Source organism: Homo sapiens, chromosome 21, assembly GCF_000001405.40.
Source record: "Homo sapiens chromosome 21, GRCh38.p14 Primary Assembly".
Taxonomy (NCBI): Eukaryota; Metazoa; Chordata; class Mammalia; order Primates; family Hominidae; genus Homo; species Homo sapiens.
Window position 1 is genome coordinate 29,524,636 of NC_000021.9, and position 23,070 is coordinate 29,547,705.

Genomic DNA, 23,070 nt, shown 5'->3' on the forward strand with positions numbered 1-23,070 from the left:
ATCATTTTGATGTTAGTGCCAGCCCTTACTGGTTTGCCTAAATCTTGCCTTTACTTCTGTCAATAGTTATTTTAATAAACCCTCTTTATTAATTCCTTAGTGTGTCATGTATTTCATGGCAGGACCCTGGATGGAGACTTGTTGATAGGACCAGATACACTCCACATATTGGTATATTTTGGGGCTTTCAGGATACTATAAGCTTAGGACAAAACCTTCCTGCTCTTTGGAAGTAGGTCACAGCTTATTTGGCTTTGATGTCCTCCAAAAAGGTGTGTTGCAATTTAAAGATGACATTGAACATGAGGCATCCCTATGAGAGCTTGGAGAAACATCATTTTATATGATTCTTTAGTGTGCAGGTCCTTTGACCACTGAATATTGTATTTTAATTGTGAGCAACATAAGGGAACCTCATGGGTGCCCATTGTTTCGCTATGATTTTATTTTGAAACAAGCTAGAGAGTCCCTGGAGGTGTTGCTTTCTCTTTGTATTGACTTCTGACTTAATAGTAATAATAGTAATAATAAAAAAGTAATATTTTGTCAGGCATGACATATGTACCCTTGATAGTCTCACTGATGATATGAGAAAACTGAGGTCCAGAGAGAAGTAAAGAAACTTATTCAAGCTCACATGTGTAGTAAGCTGCTGAGCAGAGACTCATCCCAGTTCTATTTAATTTCAAATTCTGAACCTTGAACTTAGTTTCTTCTCCTTCCCCTTCTAGAATTCCCCCTGTTGATTTTATTTTACTCCTCTTCTCTCTCCCAGAAGCAAACTATAACATCAGAGACTCCACATGTATTAAAGTAGATATCAGAAGACATATTGAATTTCACTTTGATGACATTGTAGCTTTGAATAGTATTTATTACTTATGGATCCACATAAATCCTATTATAAAAGAAGAATTTTAGTTCTTTGTTTGCACCTCCATATCAATTTTCCAATTTGTTCTAGGTGGTTGACATTTAGAGTCAGAATCACTGGACTTCCTTGACCAGTGAGCCAAATATGGGTTCTGGTTGGATTAAGCCAATATGGGGCATGACCAGAGGTCAGAGACTTGGAAAAGAGTGATGTGTTAGTTCATTTTCACACTGCTATAAAGAACTACCTGATACTGGGTAATTTATAAACAAAAGAGGTTTAATTGACTCACAGTACAGCAGCCTGTACAGGAAGCATGGCTGGAGTGCCCTCAGGAAACATACAATCATGGCAGAAGGGCAAAGGGGAAGCAAGTACCTTTTTCACATGGCAAAGCAGGAGAGAGGGAGTGAAGGGGGAAATTGTACATACTTTTAAACAACCAGATCTCATGGGAAGTCACTATCATGAGAAGCAAGGGGGAAATCCACCCCCATGATCCAATCACCTCCCACCAGGCCCCTCCCTCAACACTGGGGATTACAAATCAACATGAGATTTGGGTGGGGACACAGAGCCAAATCATATCATTTTACCCCTGGTCCCTCCCAATCTCATGTCTTTCTCACATTTCAAAGCCAATTATGCCTTTCCAACAGTCTCCCAAAGTCTTAACTCATTCCAGCATTAACTCCAAAGTACAAGTCCAAAATGTCATCTGAGACAAGGGAAGTTCCTTCTGCCTATGAGGATGTAAAATAAAAAACAATTTAGTTAATTTCAACATAAAATGGGGGTACATGTACTGGGTAAATGCTCCCTTTCCAAAAGGGAGAAATTAGCTAAAACAAAGAGGCTACAGGCCCCATGCAATTCCCAAAGCCAGCAGGGCAGTCATTAAATCTTAAAGCTCTAAAATAATCTCCTTTGACTCCACGTCTGACACCCAGGACACACTGGTGAAAGGGTTGGGCTCCCAAGGCCTTAGGCAGCTCCGCCCCTGTGGTTCTGCAGGGTACAGCCCCTATGCCTGCTTTTACAGGCTGGTGTTGAGTACCCGTGGCTTTTCCAGGCACACAGTGAAAGCTGTTGATGAATCTACCATTCTGGGGTCTGGAGGACAGTGGCCCCCTTGTCACAGCTCCACTAGGCAGTGCCCCAGTGGAGACTCTGTGTGAAGGATCCAAACCCATATTTTCCCTCTACACTACCCTAGTAGAAGTTCTCCATGAGGGCTACACCACTGTGCAGACTTCTGCCTGGACATCCAAGCATTTCCATACATTCTCTGAAATCTAGTCGGAGGCTCTCAAACTTCAGCTCTTGCCTTTTGTGCACCTGCAGGCCCAACACCATGTGGAAGTTGCCAAGACTTGGGGCTTGCACCCTCTGAAGTACACAGCCTGAGGTGTACTTTGGCCCCTTTTAGCCATGGCTGGAACTGGAGTAGCTAGGATGAAGGACACCATGTCCTGAGGCTGCATAGAGCAGGGGTGTCCTGGGCCTGGCCCACAGAATTATTTTTCCCTTATAGGCCTCCAGGCCTGTGATAGGAGGGGCTACTGCAAAGGTCTCTGAAATGTCCTGGAAGCATTTCCCCCATTTTCTTGGCTATTAACATTCAGCTCCTTTTCACTTATGCAAATTTCTGCAGCCAGCTTGAGTTCTTTCCTACAAAATGAGTTTTTATTGTCTGCCACACGGCTGGGCTGCTAATTTTCCAAAATTTTATGCTCTGCTTCCCTTTTAAATATAAATTTTCTTTGTTTATGCAGATGAGCATAGGCTTCTAGAGACAGCCAGGCCACATCTTAAACACTGCTGCTTAGAAATTTCTTCTGCCGGATACCCTAAATCATCTCTGTCAAGCTCAAAGTTTAACAGATCCCCAGAGCAGGGGCACAATGCCAAGTCTCTTTGCTAAAGCATAGCAAGAGTGACTTTTACTCCAGCTCCCAATAAGTTCCTCATCTTCCTCTGAGACCTCCTCAGCCTGTACTTCATTGTCCATATCACTATCAGCATTTTGTTCAAAACCATCCAACAAATCTCTAGGAAAGTTCCAAACTTTCCCTCATCTTCCTGTCTTCTTCTGACCCCTGCAAACTGTTGCATTCTCTGCCCATTACCCATTACCCATTCTCTGCCCATTACCCATTACCCAGTTCCCAAGTTGCTTCCATATATTCAGATATCTTTTAGCAATGCCCTACTTCTCTGGTACCAATTTTCTATATTAGCTCGTTCTCACACTGCTGCAAGTAACCACACAAGACTTTGTAACCCATGAAGAAAAGAGGTCTAATTGACTCACAGTTCCAGAATTTGTATAGAACACATGGTTGGGGAAGCCTCAGGAAACTTGCAATCATGGTGGAAGGGTGAAGGGGAAGCAAGCACCTTCTTCACATGGTAGGGTGGGAGAGAGAGAGTAAAGGGGTAAGTGCTACACACTATTTTTTTGAGATGGAGTCTTGCTCTGTTGCCCAGGCTGGAGTGGAGTGGCAGAATCTTGGCTCACTGCAGCCTCTGCCTCCCAGGTTCAAGCAATTCTTGTGTCTCAGCCCCCTAAGTAGCTGAGACTACAGGTGCACGCCACCACATCTGGCTAATTTTTGCATTTTTAGTAGAGGCAGGGTTTTGCCATGTTGGCCAGGCTGGTCTCAAACTCCTGACCTTAGGTGATCCACCCACCTTGGCTTCCCAAAATGCTGGGGTTACAGGTGTGAGCCACTGCACCCACCCTTACACACTTTTAAACAACCATGTCTTGTGAGAATTCACTCACTATCATGAGAACAGCAAGAGAGAAATCTGTCCCCATGATCCAGTTACCTCCCCCAGGTTCCTCCCCCTACACTGGGGATTATAATTCAACATGAGATTTGGGTGAGGACACAGAGCCAAACCATATCAAGTAAAATTCATGGTTCCATGAGCTTCATCTCATCAGGACCTCATGTTTCCAATGAATGAATTTCTCTACTTCAGGCCATAGCTCCTGTTGGGTGGCCCTTTTTTTTAAGGGAGCCTGAAGATTCTAGTATTTGTCCCTTCCTCTTGCTCCTTTGTGCTTAGGGCTAGTGACAGATCCCCATTGTTGCTACCCTTGGACCTACCCTCCACTCAGGGAATAGGTCTTCATAACACTGCCTCCATTGCCCCATTGACTGTGACAGTGGGTTCTTGCCATGATGTTCAGGTGAGAAAATCGTATGATTTGCCTAAAGTTAAAAAAATGAGTTAATGAAAGAATAAAACCCAGATTCCAGAATTACTTTTGACTCTTGAAAGAAAGATTGAAGTGGTCTAGCCAACCTTAAAGAATCTCATGGGGAGAAATAAAGTCAAAAATCTCACCTGAAGACCAACAAACATTCTGCAGTGCTCCAGCCAGCTTCTGAAGTATCTATCTCCTGTCCAGTTCCTTTAAAAGTCTCAGAGAACCACCAAAGTAAGCTGAGCTGATGACCTTGGAACTCTTTTAGACAGTCAGCTATAGAGTTGACACCAAATCTTACCCATGGAAAAACAGAGCTTTAATACTATTTTGATCATAAATAGATTTCCCCTGTTCTCACTAAAACTCTTCAGTGTTCTAGTTATACTCTCAGTAAAAGAAAGAATCTATTTATCCTTGGCTTAGCGAAATTACCACCTTTTCATGATTCATAGCTGCATAAATAATTTTTAACCATAAAAGCAATGTGATTTGGATTGAAGATTTTTAGAGCGCAGCTCAGGAATGGAAAACCTGTTGTCACAGGGCCACAATCTCATTCTCAATACATGTGAGGTGGAAAATGCCACTGTCGCTTCTCTTGATCCTGTGATTAAGGGTAATAATGTGTCATTTGGAAGATCTGAAGTGAAGAATAATGCACTTGTAAAAATGGTAGTTTGAAAGAAGATATTCATGACGAGCCCCAGCTCTTTCCTCTGATTAAGCTGTTCATTCTGTGCACATAGCAAAACTGTCCCCATGTGTCCCCATGCTGAAGAATCATGGGTATGGGGTCATCTCAGCTAGTTTGCTGCAGGAGCATCTGATGGGGGAGTAAAATGCTCATCTTTCCTGCTTGAACACCTCATATTCTCTTAGACAAATTTGCTTGGAGCTCCCTGAATGTGATTAGTGATGGTGGTTGGGAGTACATCCTTCCCTCCTCCATAGGGAAAAGCCACCACTCTCCGATAGGTGGATAATGTGGAAGGACTCTCATGCTTGGCCCTTGGTAAATCTCTGCTTTTGTGGGCTGGGGAGTAGGAAAGGGCAGCAGGAGCATGGTTGCAGTGATGTAGACCTGAAAGATGAACCTGGCTGTGTGTTTTGTGCATTGTTTAGAAAGTGGGATACTCGAAGCTACCTTGCAATAAAACTGGCTAGGTGCTTGGTAGTTCTTACAGCTCATCTTTTTATCTTAAAGAGGCACAATATTTTAACCATCTTAGACAAATAAGAACCCCTGTAATCCTTTCAAGGAGGCAGCATTAGTAACCTTTGATAACTGATGTTAACATTTTATCACTACTGTCAGGAGGATCCAACACAGTCCCAATCTATTTCCTTCAGGTTACAGCATAAGCCCCTCCTTTTTCCTTCTCAGTGGCAACAGATCCACCCATGTCTACATGCCAGTCTATCACTCTTATAAATGTGGAGCTAGCTGCTCCTTAACTCATCCTAGGAACCCACTCTTCTTCCCTTCTCTCCATTCCTCCTTCCTTTCTTCCTTTCTTCTTCTTCTTCTTTTTTAGTTTATTAGTCCTGAATTTTTGAGTAAATGCATTTTGTGAGTGCATAGGTACTGTGCTAACATGTTATATGATTTTAAGGTATGAGTGAGACTTCTATCTTTTATTTCACGAATGACTTCTGAGATATCCAAGGCAAATACAGACACTTCCACCTTAACAGAATCTCCTCAGACATGGATCCTTGCTTGGAAGATCTGATTTGTTTGTGAGTGTCTGGGAACTTGCAAAGTTTGTTACGTATTTTGGGAGAAAAATCAGATTTGAAAAATATAAAGAGGGAGATAGTGAGGGAAAATATAAATCCAAGTTCTCTTCAGGAAAATTTCAGAATGGGAGAGGAGAGGGTTGAAGGTTTATATTTGGGAGGTAATTTAATGGCCTTGGTTGGACACACTTGTGCAGGTATAACATCTTGCATCGTGTGAACCAGTCACTGGGAGTGGTGGTGGAAAGGCTGATTTAGATGTGAAACAAGAGGCTTATACCAGTTGCCAACATAAACCAAATAACTTTAATATCAAACCATCTAAAGTCAGATAAAGATCACTGAAGAGACATGGGAAAAAATCAGGGAAAGTTTCATACAGTCAGTGGCATTTGATGTTGGGTCTTTAAGTCAAGTTTGGATCTGGAGAGATGGAGGTGGGAAGGGAGGGGAGGAAAGATGAAACTTCCACAAAAATGGGAAAACATGAGCCAGGTACACATGGAGATAATGGATTGTTCTGGTTCGATAAAATTAACCTGTTGCATGGCCTCTAATTCTCAGAAGGAAGTTAGAAGGAAATCATCCAGGAAATCTGTATGATGAGATCATTAAACATTTCAGTGAAAAATACCCTTGCAATTAATTTCATTTGCAACATGCATGCTTATGAATCACTATATTTGTTGGGATGTTATGAAAAGGTCAAAATGAATTATATATTTGTTATGATTAGCTCAACATTCTAGCTGTCATTTGTTATTTTGGTTCCCTTGAGACAATGAAGACTCAGTTCTTATCCCTACATTGGAGTTTTGAGTGTCATTTTTTTAGAACTTTAATGAAAATGTTTCTTTTATCACTGTAATTTGGTTTATTATGCTTAATGCCACCAAATTACTTTTAAATCTTGGCATGGCTTTATTAAAAATGATCTCATTTTAATTTGCTGCTCTAGATACAGAATTCATCATGAAGACAACACAAACAGCTGCCTCTTCAGAGATGTTCTGAAAGTAGCTTAATGAGAAATCCACAAGTACTGAAGACATTATGAATGCATTCCAAATTCTCTCTAATGTTGGTTACCTGAAAATCTTTATGTTTTGTGTGTGTGTGCTTTCTTTTCCAGAAATTGCTAGACTTTCCTGGTCTCTGACTGGAGAATTTACCAGTATGTATTTCCTGTGGGCAGATGGAGATGCAAATCTGAGGAAAACTCAATGACATCCACAATCATGGTCTATAAAAATCAAGTGTCTCAACAAAGCATCAGATTTGAAACGTTACCTATTTAATTCTAATATTATCAAAGGCAGGGACTATATTTTGTTCAAAATCTGTGGCAGGTGTCTGTGTGGCACTTGCTTAAGGGGTTGTCCATTCTTTATTCAGTAAGTCTGCATTTATTGTGTACTGTATGCAAGAGGATGAACAATTTATATAGAGTGATTGGAATTTAAAAGGAATATTTGGATTAACCCTTCTAGAAGTTTATAATCAGCTGGAAGTTTACAATATAATAGTCTCCTATGAGACCGTTGGAAACAGTAAAGTTTGAGACACTCACTGGAATTATCACATCATGACATCCATATGACTTGAATGGCTCACTTTAGGAATGAGAAGTAATAAATCAATAGCACAACTATTCCGAAGACTAAGTGGTGGGCACTTTATTTTATTAAATATTAAGGTTAGAAATGACATTTTCCTACTTAAGCACCTTGGCAATGCACTGGTATGCTTAAATATTGTATCGAGGAAACACTGATGGCTATCTCTCCATCTATTTTACTAAGTGATGGTGGTAGGCAACTAATTACCCTATGGATAGTTCTTTTAAAATTGAGTCAAAATTTGCATTAAAACAAAAAAAATATTGTAACATGCCTTAGTTAAGAACCCGTGCTCTGGACTCTGACAGATTGAAGTCAGAATCTTGTTCTTTAACCAACAGGCAGTCTGTCCTTGGGTTAGCTACTAATGTCTTCTCTTGCAGTTTCTTTTTGTGTAATGCAGATGATAATGCAGAGTGCCAGCCTCATACACTGAGGCTGAGAGGACACTCGAGATCATGTATGCCCAGGGTCTCCATAGGTTTGGTCAATGCTACTTGGTCTCTAAGGGTTAGTAGGGAGTGGGGTCTGGTTTTGATGCTGTGGCGGGGCAGGGGGTAGTGTTGTACCATTCGCCACTTTATAGTTAAGTGATCTTGGACAAGCTATCTAACCTCTCGGAACCTCAGTTTTTAAAAATATAATATTTACCTTAGGGTTTCTATGAGCATTACATGAGCAAATGTGAAGGACACGCAAAGCACTTGGATTTAGTACATCCTTGTTAAATGATAGCTGAAATTACAGTTGTTAATGTTACCTGATGATGTGAGCTTGATAATTTACTGAGAGTGTATCCCAAATGAGACTAAGGCAATGTATTTTCTCTTTTTGTATATAGAAGATACATATACATTTTTATATATGTATATATTTCTCATAAAGTCCAGATGAAATGTCAAGGTTGGTCTGACTCCTCGGGGTCATCCTGATTACTGTGATGCAGGGTGGAGGTCCCTTGCCTTCTGTTGGCTCCTTTGGATTGGACCCCTATTTTTTCATCAGTGAAGGTTTCAACTTTATTAGTAGAACTCTGTGGCTGCCAAGAAGAGAAAGCTAGGGACTAATGAGTAAAATGTCTTATGATTTATTGTCCAAATCAGGACACTTTTGTGAGAGAAAATAGTGTTTAACCTATAGACCTTGATTTCAGGCTTAATGCCTAATGTTCTGGGCAAACTAGAATGTCTGGTTACTCTCCCAAAAAAGAAAAATGGATGGGAAATGGGGAGGGAAAAGAAGGAAGAAGGATACAACTGTAAACAAACAAACAAACACATCAGACAATACCTGCACACAAATCCATTTTGAAGTCTCCATTTACCAAGCAGTCTCTCTAAAATGGAAGAAGCTTCTCTAATTGGATATTTTGTGGGTAAATCTTAAACACAAGTCTCTCCAGTGCACCTGTGACATGACTAAGAGTGCACTCACCTACAAAGCCAGCCTGCTTGTTTCTGGATTTCTAGATGTTCACATGTCAGGATGGTTTAATGCTGGTCATTTCACTCCCAAGGCTTATGGGACTTTGAGTTATTACTTGTAAACACAGGAGGTCTGTCTCCACTCTGGTGGATTTACTGTTCCTATTTCCCTCTGTTTCTTTCTTCCACACTGTCATTATTTTAAAAATACAGTCTAACCAGAAAAAGTTCCCCTTCCTATACAGAACTAGACCTGAACAAAACTGAGAACTTAGTGTACCTTTGAGGTCCCAGCCTCTCCCTTCATTACTTCTTCCACACATCCATAGGAGCTTTCTCCGGACATTCCATTACCTTGCTTGCTCTAGCCCTGCATACATTTGTCACTTTTTCCTTTGGACATCCTTGACCAGTTAATGCTTGTTCTCTTCTCATTCTTCTAGGCTGGAGGCATCAACTAAGCAGATTGTCACTTGGGCTTCCTTCAGTCAATGCTCCAATTTTTACTCAACCATGGCCTCTCTGATGTTGGGGAACATCTGGTGGGCCATACATTTTAGAAAAGGTAGATTTTATGTTTCTTTAAAAATCCCACTACAAGGATAGCTCCCAGAGCTACCTTTCCCTGAGCTGATGCTGTTACCCTTTACATTATTCCTTCTTTGAAACAACAATTTCAGCAGATTCTTGACTAAGAACCCATGTAGTCCTTTTGTTGAAGGCAAAGGGTTAAATTAAAGCCATAGCTGCTGAGATAGAGGGGGAAAAAGCTAGTTAGTTCTATTTTATCTTCATCTAGTTTTCTTTAAGCTACTTTCTCCTTATTTCTGTCTTCCTGCAGCTTCTTTTAGGCTAAGAATAAAAAACTTTGAGCCCTGCACTATATCTCCAACTCTGTGGGGTCTTGCCTTTTCTCCTACAATAAAGATGAAGCCCAGATTCGAAATCTGAAAGGAGAATAAATCTTAACTGTGAACATCATCTTTCAAAACAGCTGACCTCCATTTGTTTCCCTGAATATCTCACCTGGGCAATCTTTTTCTTTTAGCACTAAGAAATTGCTGAAGGAAGAAATGTTAAATCTAGTTTTTAATTAACTTCGCCATTGATTTCTACATAACTCTGTATGAGTCACTGTTCTTTAGTGAAAGGGATGAAAATCTCCAAGGTTAATGGTTGTTACCAGGAATTTTTCTGGACTGGGTTCCAGATACTCTACACTTTCTTCTCTCCTCTGAACTCATTAGCTTACTCTCTTCTTCACCCTAAAACACAAAGATGCACACAGAAACGTAGGTACATTTGTATGTGTCAAATGTACTTTCAGAATGAAAATATCAGGGAGAAAGGAAGGTGATTATGCATTACATTTAATAGTTGACATTAAAAAAGTCCTGTTCTACAGTTTTTCAATATATTTTTAATGAAGTTATTTATAGCAAGTGTTATATGTATTGAATGAAAATTTAGTTATGTATAAGTGAAGACGAAAGAGGCTGGTGGATCTTAAAATATCCATAAACCAGATTGATATACTATATATTTTAGATATTAGAGGTTGATGTACTTCTTTTCTCACAAATTTCTGTAATAGTATGTGAAAAGATAGAGTAATATTTTCTAAAATAAGAGAAAAATTTAAAAATGGGAGAAAAATATTAGAAAATGTAAAATAGAATGCCTTGGATATAATTTTTAGTGAAGTGAATAAACTTTGTATTTCCTCCTTCTGATATGTTATCATTCTAGACCATCTTTAGCTGGTCAGATTCATCATACTCCAATTTATAAATGTTTAATTTAAGTCTTCTAATGCATTTTAATGAACGATTTTCTTCTATTTGTTGTCAATAAAAATTCTGATTGATATGAAATCTGAATATTGATTACAATCAAGCAAAACCTTTGTCCAATATCTGTTATTGTTATTGCCATTTTTAAGATCATTATTTTTCCCTTTCATGTCTGAAAATATTTTTGTACTTTGAAGGACTAGATTAAGTTTCCTAGAGATGTAGAATAATCCTGAAGAAACCAACCAGTTGTATGAAATACTGACTAATACCTATTTCTTTCCATTATTTCCCAACACAATGAATGCCACCTCAATTTTCCAGTTAAGCTCTCCTCCCACCTCCCTGAATCCTGGAATTTTCCTTTGAGACCACTTTCTGAATCCATGGCTGTTCGGATTGTGCTTCAAAATTACCTCCTTCATCTGGTGGTCTCTCTGCTTTTGGTCTGGTGCAGTTACTGAAAGAATATTTTGGGTGACCTCCCTCTAGTCTCCCTTCTGGTCTTCTTTCCTTCAATTCTTCCTCTACCCTCAGCCAGAGTGACTGCTACCTATCAGGCCTATTGGACTTACTTGCATTTTATATTTTAGCTACACCAAACTCATTTTTCCTCTAACATAATAGCCCTATTCTCTCTTATTTCCATGCCTTCTAATATGCCGCGTCCTCAGCCTGGCTCCTTTCACCTGATAATATCTGAGTGAACCTGCAAATCTTCAGTTAGCTATTCCCTTCTCCAGGAAGCCCTTCTTGACCCAGCCCCAGGTTAAATACTTCTGAGGGCTCCTTCAGTTTTGGACTTCCTCTGAGGAAGTTCTAATCCTGCTTTGAGTAATATACTGTTTTTCATCTTTGTTTTATAATTAATTATGTGAGAACAGGGACTGATATGGTTTGGCTGTGTCCCCACCTAAATCTCATCTTGAATTTTAGCTCCCATAATTCCCACGTGTTGTAGGAGGAATTTGGCGGGAGATAATTGAATCATGGCGGCGGTTTCCTCCATACTATTCTTGTGGTAGTGAATAATTCTCATGAGATCTGATGGTTTTATAAGGGGTTTCCTGTTTTGCTTGGCTCTCATTCTCTCTTGCCTGCCACCATGTAAGATGTGCCTTTCACCTTCTGCCATGATTGTGAAGCCTCCCCAGCCATATGGAACAGTGAGTCCATTAAACCTCTTTTTCTTTATAAATTACCCAGTCTTGGGTATGTCTGTCAGCAGCATGAAAATGAACTAATACAGGGACCATATCTGTTTTCTTCAGTATGGGACCCCCAGAACCTAGAATGGTGCCTAGAATGTGGCGAACACCTTTACTTTTTGAATGTATTTTTGCTTTCTGGTATCCTTTTCCAGCGCACTTCACTAATGTTCTGAGTATCATTTAAACTATTTATAAAATTAGACTTTAGAACACAAAGATAAATTGGTTCACATAGTAACTAGGTAACTTGGTATAAACTAAAAGTAATTTTTAAAACTCAGCCCAAAATGACTATGTTTGTCTAAACCAATAAGAAGAATTTTCAAAATAGCAAACTGCACAACTGACGACATACAGCAAACACACCTTTGCCAATGGGAGCAAGTAATGGGGAACAAACCAAGCTCAACTTGTTCTGGAAAAAAACCCTGTTGTTTTATTATTATTTAGAAAGCACACACAACAATTTATTGGGGAAAAAGAAAAAATGCAAAATAATTGAGCATACAAATTTATTTTAAAAGAACTGGTGTCACTTCCCAAGTCATATCTATGTGAGCTTTTTAAACTTTTGTATTTCTTATATCTGTATTCATAATCAGAGTTATGGATATAGATATATGGAAACACATCACACACTCCTCAGAAATCCTTTCTCCAAAAATCTGTAGGGAATGCATCCTTTTTCTTCCTACAGGCGTTTCCTTGGATCACGCCACAGTCTCTTTTCTCTGAGTTCGTCTCTGATGACAAGTAAGGATACTTGTGAAGGAAGATTTCCCCTTAGTTCTTGACTTTTTCTTTATTTTTTTCTGATTCTTCAGTGAGATTCCCAGTTCTTCCATGATAGCGTTGAAAGAGAGACACTAGGGAACATGAGATACAGACCATCAGCTTAATTAAGCCTATCGCATGTGCCGTTGACCTGCCTCTTGCCTAGGTATTTATGAACACAAGATATTGGCTTGAAGGCAGCTCTGTCACAATTGGCCAGTTCCCATCACCTCCTCCTCCACCCGCTGGCCACCCACCTTTTCTAATCGGGGAAACTGAGATGGCAAGTTAGCTGGGCAAACTTTGGGATTTCATTCACAAATGCAGTAGTATAAAACTACCCAGTTAAAGCAAACTCAGGGCTCTCAAAATAGATAACTTACCTTTGCTGAGACACCAAAATAGAGTTAAATTAAGTCATTTCCCCCACTGAGATGATCCAAACATTGATAGGATTATCAAGGCATACGGACACTTCAGTAATGCTATAGAAAATGAACAAACCTTCTCTACACCAAGGCTTTGTTTTTTTCTCCCATGAAACCTTACTTTGTTCCTAAAATAAAATCTAATTCTTGATGACTTTCCTTTCTGATAAAAAAAAAAGAAAAAAAAACAATTTTAAATTGTACATTTTCTCCAAAAAACAGAGATTCTGGCAGCAGCAATGATGCAGCTGTGGTCGAAATGAAAAATAATGTGGTACTGAACTTCACAGCAAAAACGATGGCATAATACAAAAGAAAATGGAAAACGGAATTATGATTAAAAAATGTTCTACATATACAGACAATATATATAATCTGCATTGCAATTATGCTATATCTGTTCACATGCATAGTACATAAATGGACCAATAAAACATAATTTGCTGTCATTTTTCTAGCCAAGATAAGACCTTTGAGTGAAAAATTCCTGCTCAGAGAAATTTCTATAATGTCCTGGTTAGAGAAATTTCTAAAAAGTAGTTTTCTTTTTGATGAGGTCACTCTTAAAACATCCTCTAGTGATATGAGCCAGCACAGGAGGACAAAGGCAGCATGATTCCACTTATATGAAACATCTAAAATAGTCAAAGTCATGAAAACAGAGAGGAGAATGGTAGTTGCCAAAGGCTGGGAGGAAGGGAAATGGGGGCAGTTGCTGCTCAAGGGGATATAAGGTTTCAATTATGCAAGATAAATAAGTTCTGGAGATCTTCTGTACAACATTGTGCCTATAGTTAATATCGTCTTGAACACTTAGACATTTTTAAGCGGTTAGATCTCAAGTGTTTTTATCACAATAAAAAAAAAATCCTCTAAAAACCATAGCCTTTGGTAAAGGTTATAGAAGTGCAAGCATACTTTTTTAACCTTAGCACACAAAATGGATATGGTTGAAAGTCAAATGACAGTGTGCCACCAGGTAATGTGTCTAAGTTGTAACTGCCTTACGGGAAGAAATTTGTGTTCTATGTTTGCAAAGTACTAAACATCTAGTGTGTTTCTTGTGTATCAGCATGCAACATGTGTATTTGAAAATGTTCGTTTTGTTCCAAAAATAACTTGATGTAGTTTAGAGAAGTAGTAGTTTTAATTTTTCTATTTTTAAATTTTTTCTACTTGATTTCAAAACCAGGCCTAGAATTTAGGTTCTAGGTGTAAACTATTGGCCTATCAGATGTATGTCTCTTAAAAAACTGGTTCTTTGAATAAAACTTTTTATCTCTTTTAAGCATAAGTGTTTATAGGATTTGAATTTCACTTCCATTTTCCTGTAATACAGAAACATAAAAACTCATGTCATGTGTGCTAATTTTCTTTCAAACAGTAAGTTGTGGCTTCAGTGAATTGGGAGGGGTGTCATGCCACACAAAGAAAAACGTCAGAAAGTTTTTTATGAACTATACTTAAAAAATGTTATAGCAAGTACAGATGCTTCTCACTTACTATGGGGTTGTGTCTCAATACACACAATGTATGCTGAAGATATTAAGGAGAAATTGCATTTAATACACCTAACTTACAGTTTAGCCTAGCTTACCTTATACACACATGGAACACTTACACTAGCCTACAGTTGGGCAAAATTATCTATCCAGCCCATTTTATAATACAGTGTTGACTCTGTCATATAATTTGTTTATTGAATACCGTGCTGAAAGTAAAACACAGAATGGTTGTATGGGCACTTAAAGTATGGTTTGTCTAGTCTGTGTATCACTTCCGTTCCACTGCAAAGTCAAAAAATTGTAAGTCAAAACATCATGTCTGTATATCATGAATGAAATATAATAATTTGTTAACATTACACCATATAAAGCTTGTGTGTTGCTACTAAGAGCAAATTAATATTTTATAGTGTAATTGTGATATATAGTATTGTATCAGAGTTTTGCAAACTTTGCTCAGAAATTTATTTCAATGGAAGAAATATTTTTGGCATTAAAATGGAAGGAACGAAAGGAGGAAAGAAAAGAGTGTCAAGAAGTTTGCAAACTTTATTACATATTATACCCTTTATATAGATGGGGAAATTTACTATTGGAGACATTAAGTAACTTACCCAAGAAAAAGAGCTTGCATTTGAACTCAGTATATCTGGACTGCCCAAACCAAGAGCTTTCATGAGAAATCATCTACACATTACCTTTTAAAAATATTTTTTATCACTATAGATAGCTTTTTGTGAATTTTCCCAAAAACCATTATGTTAAGAAATTCCAATCTTTCTGCTTTACTTGAACTCTCAAGCATTTGATTTTAGGCATGTCACTTCATTTTACATTGAAATCGCCCAAATGAATCTCTGACTGTGACTTGACACACACAGAGGAAGGTCTCATTGAAACCTCTTTTCCCTATTTTGGGTAGAAGAGTGGTCATAGATATTACCTGACAATCTGTTTCAACTAAGTTTATTTTTTCAAAAAAGGAACTCCTCCCCCAGATTTTAGACTGCCTTAAAGTACAACAAACATCTTTACTCTTGACTAACTCCAAGTATTTATTTCTTGCTGCTTGTGTGAGAGCAAATATAAACATAGTTTTATCAGTGGGCGGCTTTCTTGGTCTTTGGTTGCAAACAATGATTTCTTTTTGATTCTCACTTTGTCTCTGACTGTTGAAAAGAAAATGGCAAGATATTGGGGCTGACCTTTCTGCCTCCAAGTTTTTGCTGTAGTCACAAGGAAAGGTGACCTTTAAGGCCTCTCCCAGCCATGAGCTTGAGTAAACCACACATTCTTGGATCCACAGGAAATGAAATTGTGAAGGTCATCTTTCAGCCCAGAGTGGCTTGGGAGGGGCTCATATTCATTAATTAATTTGCCTTTTATGATCTCAGAATTAAGGATACATATAAAGATTGAGCTTCTGAACTGGGACCAAAATGACTGTAGCTTTCTAAAACTTCTGTTTGTAGGCTTGGGTTTTTCATATTCACAGAGCCATAGAAACATTATTTTAAAGTATGTTGGTTTAAATTCCTAAATCCTACTTTCATGAGAAAGTATCAAACATAATGGCATTCAGCTAGCTGCCTTACTCAAGACGTACTGCAAAAGGAGGCGGGATACTCAGGTAGTATTTTCTGGTACTTTGCATACTGGAAAGTCCTCCAGTAGCCTGGATCTGGGGCCTGGATTAAAAATGTGATGGAGTTCACATTTCTAATAAATCTACACTTGCACTTGATTTTTTTTTTTTTTTTTTGACAGAGTCTCACTCTGTCACCAGGCTGGAGTGCAGTGGTGCCAACTTGGCTCACTGCAACTTCTGTCTCCTGTGTTCAAGCGATTCTCCTGCCTCAGCCTCCCGAGTAGCTGGGACTACAGGTGCGCGCCACCACACGCGGCTAATTTTTGTATTTTTAGTAGAGATGTGGTTTCACCACGTTGGCCGGGATGGTCTTGATCTCCTGACCTCATGATCCACCCCCCTTGGCCTTGCAAAGTGCTGGGATTACAGGCGTAAGCCACCGTGTCCGGCCTACAAGTGACTTTTAATTACAGTTTAGAATTGGTGCCTGGTATCAGAATGAGTTTTAATTTCAGCTATACTTCCTAGTAGCCAGGTTACACCGGGCAAGGTATTTATTTTCTCTTGGACTCAGTTTCCTTATGTATAAAGTGAGACAATAGTAGAATCATTTTCATAGAACTATTATGATAATTCAATGTACTGTTATATGCAAAACAGTCCAATGGGTGGCATATTTTAAGTATGCTCTTTCTTTAAAATAAAGTTTTATATACCATAGTATATATTTTAACTCTATGCCATTCATTGCACTCACGGTCTTTTTTTTTTTTTTTTTTTTTGTGGGAGAGATACAATGAAAAGGTTGATGGTTCTTTAATTTGAGCCATCTGATGCACATCTGTGCAGCAATTCCTTTGAGTTGCTTATACTAGTGTTTTAGTTAAAATAGTTCCCATAGGTGTTAAAACATAAATTTTCAATGCCTATTACCACTTCTTTTGCCCAGTCCATGTTTCTGTGTCTATGTAGTTGTAGGCATTATGACAACTTGTATTGTGCTTTATACATAGGCACTCCAACATCAGAAGGAAATAAAAGCTCACCACAGTCCCCGGCAATTTAAAAATTCCATCTCTGTGCTTATGAACCATCTATTAATAAATGAACCTTTATAATAATGTCTGATAGAAAAATTCATTTACAAATGAATTTATAGTAATAAAGTATGTTCTTGCCATTTATGCTGTTTCTGACATTATCCAAAAATAATGTAGAGTGTGTGTGTGTGTGTGTGTGTGACCTTTCCTTTAGAGGAAAGGAAATGGAGAAACACAAGTTAGTCTAGTAGAGATTGAAATAGAAACTTCAACTAAAACTCTTGGCTTTAGAAGGAGAGAGATTTGCTTGTTTATTTCAGTTTTGCAGAAAGTTATTTCTCTACTCTGATCCCTCCATGCTTGTGGTGTGTCCCTAAGGACCCCCTTTTCTTTCATATTCTGTCTTCTTTGCTTTCTTTTACCTTCCCTTTTGGTTTGTTTCTTTTTTAATTGCTGGCTTCATGGCACCTCCTTTGAATTAACCTCAAATGTTTGATTTCTTGAAGCTTGTGTGAGCCTGAATATAAATTATATCTTCTCTTTACACCTTTATCCTTCCGTTGCAAATGTTGCCCTGGATGGGGTGGGAGGGACTAATAAAGTTCTATTTGTTTTGTACCTAAAATACTCTGCCTCACGAAGAATGATTCAGGGGAAAATAACAATTTTTTTAAGTTATAGATAAAGCTCTGGGCAAGAATTGGATTTGAGTTTGCAGTATTCAAAAAACTAGACTATATGGAATTGACTTTCATACTGGTTGCAAACTTGACATCAGATTGTGAATGTCAGATTGATTTCTCATTGTAGATTTAGCATTTATACATTCACATCTTTCATTCATTGGTAGGTATAGGTAAACATTTCAGAGAACTGCTTTGGATGCTTATACCCTTGAGGATTTTTCTGAGGAATTATTTTTCAGAAGCTCTGGCCTAGCCAATAATACAATACAAATCTTACATTTTGTATAGGTTTCTCCCTTTAATAGGCTCCTTATTCAAAGGCACTTGAAGTGCTCTGTGACACAGTCTGATAAATTTTCACATTACACATGGAAGAAAAAGGATGTAGGAAAAAGGAAGAAAGAGGATATTATTGTCATTGTATAGATGTAAAACCTTGCATTTTATGTATAGACCTACCATAAGTTGAAAGCAAGCTATGATTTGGAGTATTTTTATAAAGACAATTTCAGTAAAATGTAGACTATTAAAGAAATAGTTTCCTGAAAAATAATGGGATTATTATTACTATTTTTTTTTGTCTTGGTCAAATTCCTGCTGTAGTTCTGTGGAGCCAGTGTCTCAATGATTATATTTTTTAAAGAAAGACAAAAACTTCACTTCCTTAACATTTTTTAACTCTAAGCTCTAGTGTAGGAGCAAACCTAGGATGGTTTGAGGATACAGTCAGGAAAGTTTTTAAGGAATAGGAACAGAAGAATTGTATTTAGGGATTTGCAACATAGAGACTTGTACAGTCTGGTCACCTATCTGTCCACAGATTTCACTCCCTTCCAAGAGAATTAATGATCTAAGAGCAGAGGTCAGGCTTTAATCATCTCTCACTAATTATGTGAAGGCAGGTGGAAGGAGATTTTTGGAGTAGTTTTATGTGTACTACCCTTGTGGGAAGTTTTTGCATTCCAGAACTGAGGATTTGGGCAGCATTTCCTGTGGTTTGATCCATTTTCTGAGCGCATTCACAACCCATGGGCCATCTTTTATGCACCCATCCTTGGAATTTAAAAAAAGTGAATCCTAGAGGTTGAGTGTTGATCACCATATTAGCTTTTAGAATAGTGGTTATGTTGATTTGTGCCTGAGAGCTAATGAGAAAGCTGATTCTCATCTCCTGGGTCCGTGTAAAGAATGTTGGGGTGAAGGAAGTCTAGCCACTGAAATAAAATGTACAAGTGTGGTCGCCCATACTAATCTCCACCTGTGACCCAGCAGCCACGTCTTGCCTGGCCCGTTTTCTTGCAACTTTAAAGCTTTAAACTGGCTCCCCATGGGAAATGACTCTCGAAAGCCCCTGTCTTCCTTTCCTTTGGCTACAGCATGTAGACTTCATGAACTCCTTTTTCCCGTGTTTGCTAATGTCATGTTTTCATTACCTCCATGTTGTCTCTTCTGCTCTATTTAATTTTTGTTCCCACACCTGGGACCTGATGCCAACATCCTTACCATCTCAGATCCTAGATTTAAGTTTCTCTGTTTGCATGAACGCATGCCCTAGAATTCCTTGTTCTCCTAAATGAGCTCTTTAAACCATAAAAATATACCTATGAGGGTCACAGGGTTACTCCATGACATCAGATACACAAGTGTCTTCCTCCTGTTGTTCATCTTTATTTAAAGATTTCATTTAGAAACCTTATTCTCTCAACAGAAAAATAGTCTATTTTTAAATGGCATGCACAATCCATAGGGATTCTTAATTTTAAAAAATGATCCTTAAAAAATTTTGCACATGGGGTGGCCACGCAGGGCTACCCAGTGCACATTCCTGACAAGTAGGGGATGTGTAAGTTCATCCTCCGCTAACGTTAGGGATAATGTCATGGAAAACTTTGAAAAGTGGAGTTAACATTGAGGCCCTGTAATATTTTGATATTACTCTGTGTGCTTTTTTCCAGTTCTTCTGAATCCCAGTCCTTTTTCTCACTTTTCAAGTTACAGCAAGTGCTTTTATATGCATTATCTTCAGGGTAGGGATGATATAGAAAGAAAAAAGACTCAAATTTGGAGCTTTGAGCTTTTTAAATGGACTTTTGTGGATCTGTAGAAGACGCTGCAGTCTTTGAAGCTATTAATTACAACAGTCAGGTGTTTGAAACAAGGAAAAGGCAGGTACTTTGAATTGTAAAAGTTTGACATTAAATATCAAGCTTAGAGGCTTCAGGACTCAGCCTATAGGACTGAGGATGGAGTGTAAAGAAAGGGTTGTCTCGTAGCTGCTCTCAAGGAGAAAAGTTCAATCAGGTGATGTGAGAATCTTGACCAAAGCCTAGATGCCAAGGGAGATCTGAGGAGGGGCACCTCCTCTGCCTTCTCTGGGGGCAAACTCCCATGCAGCCTGATAGGTGTGGGGACCTGAGAACACAGGGAAACCATAGCCCAGTCTCTGTCTCAGGCATTCAGAAGAGGCAGTTAATGGAGCAGAGAAGTGTCAGTGGGGTATGCCATCAGGCCAGCCTGAAACTGTCCTCTGAGACTCCCATGGCCTCCCAAGGGTGCTCCAGAGCAGCTAAAACATTTTCCTGCCCTAGAAAGGACACATGAATAGCTGATGGTATAAAAGGGAGCATGAAACATGGCCCAGTCCAGTGCTATGAGCAGAGAACAGAGAGATATTCCTGCAGTGAGGATAAGCTTCCAGTGGGCCTTGTATACCTGGAAGTAAGCAGCTCTTCTTGCTTAAAAGTGGCAGAAATGTGGGTTTGTCCTTCAATCCAAACCACACAGTGCCTTTCTCCTCTTCAGAGTCACTGTCAGAGGCCAGTGTGGCTTTGTGCCTTGGCCCTCTAGCTTCCCTCTGGCTTCCTGCACTGAAGGCCTGAGAGGATTCTGCATGGATTGGCTTTCCCTCACCTCATGGAAAACGCTTGATTTTTTTGTTTTTTGTTTTTGTTTTATTGCATTTCAGAGGCTGAATTAGGGCCATAAAATAAACTTCCAAGAAATTCTTTGCATGCCCTTTCTCTACAGGGAATGGCACTACCTTTAAGCTAAACTGATCGTGATGTGTAGGGTGTTAGTTGTCCACAGTGCACGTATGCACTACACGCATAGCTTTCAGGGCCCTACCTTTAAGCTAAACTGACCGTGATGTGTAGGGTGTTAGTTGTCCACAGTGCACGTATGCACTACATGCATAGTTTTCGGGGTACCAGTTTATGCCTATGGTAGTGGGAATGCATTTTTCTCAAGCTACAAACTTGGATTTGCAAACAAATTATGTGATACTATTTAAAAAAATAGAACTCACCTTAGCTTAGAGGTTCCCCATCTGCTAGTGTGTCTTATCAACTCAAGGTAATTAATTCACTTTTGGTTTAAAATGCTTTCTTTTGGTTAATGTTTTAGTTAATGCAAGCCTCTCTCCACATCCCTTCTCTCTTCTCTTCTTTCCAAGGGTCAGCTGGGATAAGGAGAAGTGTCTAGAGGGCCCAGGATCAGCTAGTCCAAGGCCACCCTCTGTCCTTTTGTCTTCCATGGGGATGTGACATCCTACTAGGTCATGAACACTGATTTCTGTCTCTGCTGTGCCCTCTGAGATGACCATGGTCCCAGTGTCACATCCACACACCCTGTGTCTTTCCCGCTCTAACCTCAAGTCTTCCAGTCCACTGGTTCTCTCAGCCCTTCCACACATGCCTCTTGGGTGAGAAGAGCCATGGATTTTTGGCTGTTTTCCCTGCATTCTCTGAGATTGAGGAAGACACTATGTATGAAACATTCCATAGCTTCACTGCCTACACGCTGTTATTCTGCCATTCCGGAGACAGTGGCATACAAAATGTCTCTACAAGTCTTATCACCTCCTGGCCCTTCACCCTGTGAAGTAAAAATGGCATTTTCTGTCCAGGATTCCCTTTTAATTTTTCTGTGGTTTCTATTCTTCTTCATCCTCCCAAGTGTGAACTTGGCTCAGAGATGGTAAGTGGTTTAGGAATAGCCTCCTCACAGAGATTAAGGTAGTATCTAACCTTTGTGACTTTCCTCCAATTTTCTCTTTCCTAATGGTCAGAATCTGGTCTGGGGTAGGTAAATCAGGTAGTAAAATATCATTATCTCTGTTTCTCCAACCTTAGCCTTTTGGGTTTTGGCTCTGGCCAATTATAGATAAACTTTTTTGAATTATAACAACTTACATATTCAATGAAACATCTGGATCTTGCAATTAAAAACCATGGTTTCCAAGATTTTTCTCTGTGCTACAAATCTGCAAGGACTACTTAACATCTCAAAAGCTAAAAGTTTAACTCATTTTTAGTTTGAGAACAGTTCATATAAAAACTCCCATACTTGATGGTAGGAAGAAGGGTAGGGATAAAAACAATAGAAAATAAATGCACTCTGTCCTCTTTATTTCTCCTTGTCTGTCTTTAGAAGAAACACTAAGTTACACTTACAGAATAGAGAGAGTCTTCCTATGAGGTCCAGTCTCATTTATCATCCTCTTTTGTGAATTGTGAATGTGTATTCATTTCTACAGCTTCAAATAGCTTCCTAGGTACGTATCTCTTTTTTGTCTTGTTTTACCTGGTCTGTAGGCTCATTAAGGTCAAGAACAATTCTACTTCTGTAAAATTCACTCTGTCTGTAATGATTTGCTTATGATTCATTAGATGGGAACCTTCTTGCTTCTTGATGTCATGATGGCTAGTGGGGCCATTTTCTCTATATCCAGGGGAGGCCTTTCTGCCTTGAAGTACTGGCAGGACACAGTCATTCTGATGGCAATAAGAATTTCATGTGTCCAAGAGAGACACATAACCATATAAAGAAATGTAGAAACAAAAATCTCTTTTTATCACTGCTTCTATGTTTTTTGTTTTTATTTCCTTCCCATTTTCTACTAGAGTCAAACAATATTGTGGTTGGCAGAGAACTTCAAATGCAACCTCCTCATTCCACAGATGAAGAAACTGAGGTTGAGGGAAGTAAAATGACTTGCCCAAAGACACACAGCCCTTTAGCAGCAGTGTGGAAACCTGAGTTCTTGGCATGTGATTCCCAAGTCACCTGTCTATTGGGCCATGCCCATCGTTCAGAGTTCGTTTGGTTGATAAGACAACATCAACTTGTATATTAGAAACGTTATTTCTAAATTGATGTTAATT

The 23,070-nt window shown here is 38.9% G+C and overlaps 1 protein-coding gene across 6 annotated transcripts in view; it reads right to left on the minus strand.

The window, feature by feature from the left end:
- Positions 1 to 12,297: 12,297 nt before the first annotated feature.
- Positions 12,298 to 23,070, minus strand: part of GRIK1 (glutamate ionotropic receptor kainate type subunit 1) — a 403,064-nt gene continuing 392,291 nt past the window's right edge. For 4 of the 6 annotated variants that reach the window (NM_001320621.2, NM_001320618.2, NM_175611.3 and 1 more), the window contains one exon: positions 12,298 to 12,750. In NM_001320621.2, coding sequence (NP_001307550.1) covers positions 12,595 to 12,750 — 156 coding nt within the window. In that variant the 3' untranslated portion in view covers positions 12,298 to 12,594. Of the gene's footprint in view, positions 12,751 to 13,162; positions 13,250 to 23,070 lie in introns of all 6 variants that reach the window. The other 2 variants (NM_001330993.2, NM_001330994.2) reach the window with 1 other exon arrangement.